General features: G+C 44.2%; 2 annotated features.

Moving 5' to 3' along the window:
- Positions 2,690 to 2,949: an enhancer, noted in NCBI's record as "active region_19778". NCBI's record gives its function as "activates an Ori minimal core promoter by ATAC-STARR-seq in GM12878 lymphoblastoid cells {active_cell/tissue: GM12878}" and the evidence as "EXISTENCE:reporter gene assay evidence [ECO:0000049][PMID:35858748]".
- Positions 5,374 to 5,900: an enhancer, noted in NCBI's record as "H3K4me1 hESC enhancer chr3:45608597-45609123 (GRCh37/hg19 assembly coordinates)". NCBI's record gives its function as "activates a minimal SCP1, AML or CMV promoter by ChIP-STARR-seq in naive H9 embryonic stem cells {active_cell/tissue: H9 hESC(naive)}" and the evidence as "EXISTENCE:reporter gene assay evidence [ECO:0000049][PMID:30033119]".

Genomic DNA, 6,861 nt, shown 5'->3' on the forward strand with positions numbered 1-6,861 from the left:
TGCTTCAGACAGTCAAGTCTTTAAAGAAATTTTAAAAAGAAAAAATACTTTTATATTTACCTCAATAGTTACCATTTCTGGAGTTCTTTCTTCTTCCTGTAGTTCTGGGCTTCAATCTGAGATAAATTCCCTTTAGCTTAAAGCATTTTCTTTAGTGTTTCTTATAGTGGTTCTGCTGGCAGTAAGTTCTCATAGCGTTGGCTTGAGAAACCTTTCTTTCCCTATACCATACTGGATATAGCCTTCTAGCATGGTACTTTTTTTTTTCAACATTTTAGATGTCATTCCATTGACTCCTGGATTTCATTGTTTCAGATGAAAATTAACCATCATTCTTTTTGTTGTTGTATTAAAGATAATGTTTTCTTTCCTTTGGCTACTTATAAGATTTTCTCTTTTAACTCTAAAGATTTTATCTATAGTTTGACTAGGATATGCCTAGTTGTAGTTTTTTTCTTTGTATTTATCCCTCTTGGGGTTTTTAAGATTAGGAATCTGTGGGTTGATATCTTTCATCAATTTTGGAAAATTGTCAGCCATTACATCTTCAAATATTTCTTCCCCAATTTCACCTCTCTTCTTTTTCTGGTGTATCACTTAAATTTACATTTGATCATTTGATATTGTCTCACAGTCCTCTGACAGCCTGTTCTGTACTTTTTTTTAATTTTAAAAAGAAATCATACAGTTGTGAGAAATTATTAATAGATATCCTTTGGACCCTTTACCTAGTTTCCCCCAGTGATAACATCTTGCAGAATTACAGTATATCACAACCAGGATACTGTCCTTGATAAAATCCATCAATCTTGTTCAGATGTTCCTAGTTCTACTTGTATTGATTGTATGTGTTTGTGTGTGTGTGCACGTGCACACATGTATTTAGTCTTTGCAGTTCAATCACAGATGTATGTTCATGTATGCACCATCACAGTTCAGATTCAGAGCAATTTCATCGCTACAATGTTTCCTCAAGTTACCCTTTTATAACCACCCCCATCTTCCTACTACACCCCTACCTCATCACAAACCTCTGGCAACCACTAATCTGTTCTTCATCTCTATAATTTGGATATTCAAGAATGTTAACATAAATGGTATTATATAGCATGTGGCCTCTCAGATTGCCTTTTTATACTCAGCAGAATTCCCTTGAGATTCATCCAAGTTGTTGCATTTATAAATAGTTCTTTTTTTTATCATTGAGTTGAATTCTATGGTATGAATATATCATTGTTTGTTTAACTATTCACCCATCAAAGGACATCTTGGTTATTTCAAGTTTTGGCTATTATCAATACAGCTGCTATGAACATTCATGTACAGGTTTTTGTGTAAATATAACTTCTCATTTCTCTGGGTAAATGCTGTGGTTTGAATGTCTCCTCTAAAACTCTTATTGAAACTTAATCCCCAATGGCAGTATTGAGAAGTGGGGCCTTTAAGAGGTGATTGGAAGGCCGGGCGCTGTGGCTCACGCCTGTAATCCCAACACTTTGGGAGGCTGAGGCGGGTGGATCACCTGAGGTCAGGAGTTCAAGAACAGCCTGGCCAAAATGGCGAAACCCCATCTCTACTAAAAATACAAAAATTAGCCAGGTGTGTTGGCATGTGCCTGTAATCTCAGCTACTTGGGAGGCTGAGGCAGGAGAATCGCATGAACCCAGGAAGCAGAGGTTGCAGTGAGCTTAGATCGCACCACTGCACTCAAGCCTGGGTGACAGAGCAAGACTCTGTCTCAAAAAAAAAAAAAAAAAAAAAAGGTGATTGGATTACACCATTAATGGATTAATGGATTAATAAATTAGTGGATTGATGAGTTATCATGGGAGGGGAATTGGTGACCTTATAAAAAGAAGAAAAGAGACTTAAGATGGCAAGTTAGCATGCTCAGCCCCTCACCACATGATGCCCTGCACCCCCTCAGGACACCAGAGTTCCCACCAGCAAGAAGGCTGTCACCAGATGCAGCCTCTTGACCTTGGACTTCTCAGGCTACATAACTGTAAAAAATAAATTCCCTTTCTTAATAAATTACCCAGTTTCAGGTATTCTGTTACAAGCAATAGAAAATGGACTAAAACACTGCCCAAGAATGCAATTCCTAGGTCACAGGATAATTGTATATTTACTGGCATGTGTTTTGAATTCTCTAATTCTTTCTTCTTCTGTGTGGACTCTATTATTAAATTTATAAATGAATTCTTCATTTATACTGTATATTTTAATTCAAACATTTCCTTTTTTTAAAGTTTTATTTCTCTGTCAAATACTTCATATTTTCCTATGTTTGCCTATCTTTTTACATAAATTCTTTAACATATTTAAATAGTTATCTTAAATCCTTGTTAGCTAATCCCAGCATCTGGGTTATCTGTGGGTCTGCTTTTGTTGATAATTTCTTTTTGTCTGATGAAGGATTACATTGTCTTTCACATGTCTTATCATTTTTTCAGTGTATGCCAGAGATAGATATAAAAGCACAGGAGAGAATGAGGTGCATAATATTCCCCCCAGAAAGAACTATCATCTTTCAGGAAGCTAGAGAGAGGGGCCCATCTGTTCAAGAGCTGCATTCTGTGAACACTGAGATGCAGCCTTGGTAATTTCAGTTCACTTAGTTTCAACTCTTGAGTGTGGTTTCAGGCCACCCCCTCCAGCAGAGATGGTCTCTGAACAGGTGCTAAGGAGATTTGGCAACACTGAATGGCATCCCCAAGAAGTCTGCTGGGTTTCTGCAGGACACTCTTCTTTACCAAGCCAACCACCATCATCTTATGAGGCTTCCTGGAGGGAACCTCCAGATTATGTGAGGGGTCTTTCCTTCTTCATGCTTTGGCCACATTGCTTTGGGATGGTTTGGATTCTCTCCTGCTCCCTGCCTCCCCCCACACCATGTATGCTTCTTGATAACAGGGACTGTGCCTCATCCATCTGTGTTTCCCATTGATGCATAGTGGTTATGAGTTGGGTCAAAAGCAAACACAATAAATGTTTGTTGAATGAACAAATTCCTGGAGAAGGAATATGTTAACAGAGGGGTGGCGGGTCACCAAAGCACTTAGAACAGGGTTTTGCACTGGGCCTGTAGTTGATCCCAGAGTAGAGAAGGCCCTACCAGTATGTCCAGCCCATCTGATGGTTGTGGCTCTGTTAAGCAGTTATGAAAAGGAGACAGCAAAGTGATTGAAGGCATGGGAACCAACATTAACCTTGCTCTGCAAGTTTTGAGGATGGTTGTTACGCGGGGGAGAAGCATATTTGGAGTAATCTATGCATATCTAGGTGGAACTATGGAACTCCCTTAAGGAAGAAAAGAAGCTGTAGGCATTGGCTTCCCATCATAGAGGCCTGGATAAAGGTAGAGGTGAGCAGGAGGTGACCCAGAGACAGCCTTCCTCACTGGCCAGTGGCACACTGGCACCTATCCAGTGTCACTTTGTAAGCTTGTTTCTAACATAAAATCTGTATGCATGCCAGAGTCATAAGCTGTATGTGATGAAAATGAGGGTGGATGGGCAACCCATTCTGTAGGAAAAAAAGATAGTCCTCATGTCTGAATAATGGATCCTGGGGAGTGGTTTCTCCTGGCATGGAAGACAGAAGCAGATACAGCAAGATGATGCCCATGTGAAATGGTGAGATACTGGCTTCTATGTGGGGGCAAATGATGAGGACTAAGGGGACAGATGGAAATCTTTGGCTTCAGAGGATGATGAGAGTCAGTCAACTGAAAATTAGGAGGTAGGGCAGTCCCAGCAGAAGGGGTGGCATATATGTAAATGCTAAGTGGCAGGAAAGTTCTAAGTGTCTTTGAGGAAGTGAAAGGCAAATGTGACCAGGGCACAGCAAATGAAGGTGGGGGACCATGAAGAGAAGGACCAGAGCCAGCTTAGCCACATTAAGGATTCTGGATTTATTCAAAGGTGATGCTCCATTTGCAGGTTCAAAATATTGACTGCAATGAACATGGGTTGAATAAACAGTGAGAGAGTGAATGAATGACTATTATCAAGTAAAGAGATGAGAGGCACACAAGCGTAAAAATGGAGACCCAAGTAATTCCATTTACTGAAGAAGGAATAGTGAGGCCTTATTCAAGGCCAGAGGTGCTGAGAATTTCTTTCCTGGACTGCACCATGGGAATTCAGATGTTTCTAGCTGTAGGGGAAGCCTTCACTCTCCCAGGTGTGGGTCTGTTCCTTAATATAGTGTAAGGGTAGAGGAAAAACTTCCTCTCCTCACCTAAGGTAATGAACTGACAAAAGGCAGATTAACAGGAGAGAATGGTGTGCAAAATCTGTTAACACTCATACGAACATGGGAGCTGTGCCCAAAGTTTAAGACTTGAAGAGGGGCCAGGTGGTTGAGGGTTTAATACTCTCTTCATAGGGAGAGACGTGTGGACACAGGAGGCAGACACTATTTTGTAAATGATTCTCTAGATGACCATTACACCACCTTCTTCTGCCCCACAGCCCTCCTTCCTCTCTCCTTCTCTATTCTGTAATCTCAAAACACCCAGAATCCCTGGTGAGGGCCAACAAGTGTCACATCCCCTGACAAACAGGAGGAGGAACTGTTGACCACACCCCAGTGCCCTTTACATTTTTCAGTGTGAAGTAAGATGTAGTCTGCACTTGACCGTGGGAATCACTGGCTTATGGAGACACCAGTAATGGGGACACTCAGTTACTTGAGTGGACATGGATTAAGTAAGACAGCCCCAAACATAAGCTGGGCCTCTGTGTCCGTATCCTCCAGCAGGCCACACAAGGGTACGGGGCGCAGTGCACACCTCTCAGGAGAACACAAGCTGTCCCGAATCATTTACAACCATCTCCATGAAACTATGCATAAGGCCGCCTTTGCCCTCCAGGCAGCAGACACAGGGGCTTTTTGCTGCTGTCTTCCATAAATTACTGGAAGCTCCAGGTGTGTTCATTCAGGTTCTCTGAGAAGCAGATACCAAGATGGGATATGACACGCAAGAGATGTATTGGAGAAAATGCCTGTGCAGGAGAACAGAGAGCAAGATGGGGGCATTGGGAGAACCATCAGATTTTGACGCAGTCTGACCCCTGTGAAGGAGAGAAGTAAGGGAGGTCTTAGACAGCTGTTTAAGGGAGTCCTTGGGTCAGAGTCATCTGTCAGTGGAGCCCCACATCTCTCAGGAATAGGCCTGCCCGAGTATCCCTGCCTTGCTCAGCCATAGGCTGGGAGCAGCCTGTGGGAGGCATAGCCTTGGCACAGATGGGGTGGCGGGTCCCGAGCACAGTGTCTGGGGTCTCTGGCAATCACGCTCCCACAGTGGAAGGTTGGAGGGCCTGGCAGTGGGCTAAGAGGGCTGTGGCCCAGTCCTCTCCACAGCCTGCCACCAGCTCGGCGCCTAGCCAGTCCCAGCAAAGTCAGTTCCCAAGGTGGTGAGACTGTGGGAGGGAAACAGCCATCCCCACACAGGCCTCCCTGCAGGCCTCAAGGGAAGGTCACCCAGGACAACCAGCTCCACAGCAGAGGGAGGATCTGTGAGGCACTTTCATGTCAATAGGGGTTGCATGTCCTCAGAGGAAATCAAACCGTGAAATCATTTCCAACACAAAAGCCCATTTATTTTAACAAGGGAAAAAAACAGTGGCTCCAAACAGCCCTCAGACATGATGGGTACCCTGTGGACGTCTGTGATGCCTTGTGGTCCATTCACAGTTCCTGGTAGGCACAGAGCGAATCTTTTCCATGTTTTGGGTTTTTTGTTTGTTTGTTTGTTTTTGTTTTTTAAATGGACTTAGAGGGTTGTGAGCATTTTGCAAAAGAATCAAACACCATGCCAGTTGCCAGTCTGTGCCAGCACCTTCGATTCCCAGTCTGGCCCTGCTCAGTGGCAAGATTTAGATTTAAAATCCATTTTTCCAAGAAGACAGGATGGTGAACATGTAAGTCTGATATTCAGTCTCCAGGCCTGGTGACTTGCTCCTCCGAGGCCCCAAAGCCCAGGAGAGATGCTCACTCGGTTCTCTCCATGTTCCGTCTGAACATCACCTGCTTCAGTTCCCCAGTAGATTGGTTGTGCCAATTGACCTGGTATATCACACAGCTGTGGCCTCGGGGCTGTGTTTTTATCTCCTAAGTGGTTAAGATTTAAAGATGGGGAGCAGAGTGGGCGGGAAAGGGCGGGAAGACGTCAGCAGATGTGAAATCAGGCAGACAAAAATAAACAGGGCACTCTTCCTTCCTGTCTGTAGGGCTCACCATCTCCAAGAGGTGGGTCAATTCTCCTCCCCAGGAGCAGATGGGGAACTTCACAGCCACATCCTCAGTTCAGTTTCTCTAGCCGCTTCTAGGGTTTTCCCGAGCCTGCCCTCAAGCTGTGAGGAGCCTCTTTTGTAGCTCACATCCCAACCATGTGGATTAATGAAAATGTCACAGGGGCTTTTTCTTTTTGATGTTGCCTTACACATGCACCTCAAATGTCCCCAAGTCCTCTGGCCTTCTGGAGTCACCCATTTTTTTATTTTAGATTTAGGGGTACATGTGAAGGTTTGTTACATAGGTAAGCATGTGTCACAAGGGTCTGTTGTACAGATTGTTTCATCACCCAGCTATTAAGCCCAGTACCCAATATTTTTTCTGCTCCTCTCCCTCCTCCCACCCTCCACCCTCAAGCACGCCCCAGTGTCTGTTGTTCCCTTCTTTGTGTCCATAGTCCTTTTTTTTTTTTGAGACGGAGTCTTGCTCTGTCGCCCAGGCTGGAGTGCAGTGGCGCGATCTCCGCTCACTGCAAGCTCCGCCTCCCGGGTTCACGCCATTCTCCTGCCTCAGCCTCCGGAGTAGCTGGGACTGCAGGCGCCTGACACCACGCCCGGC

This window comes from Homo sapiens, chromosome 3 (genome assembly GCF_000001405.40).
Source record: "Homo sapiens chromosome 3, GRCh38.p14 Primary Assembly".
NCBI lineage: Eukaryota > Metazoa > Chordata > Mammalia > Primates > Hominidae > Homo > Homo sapiens.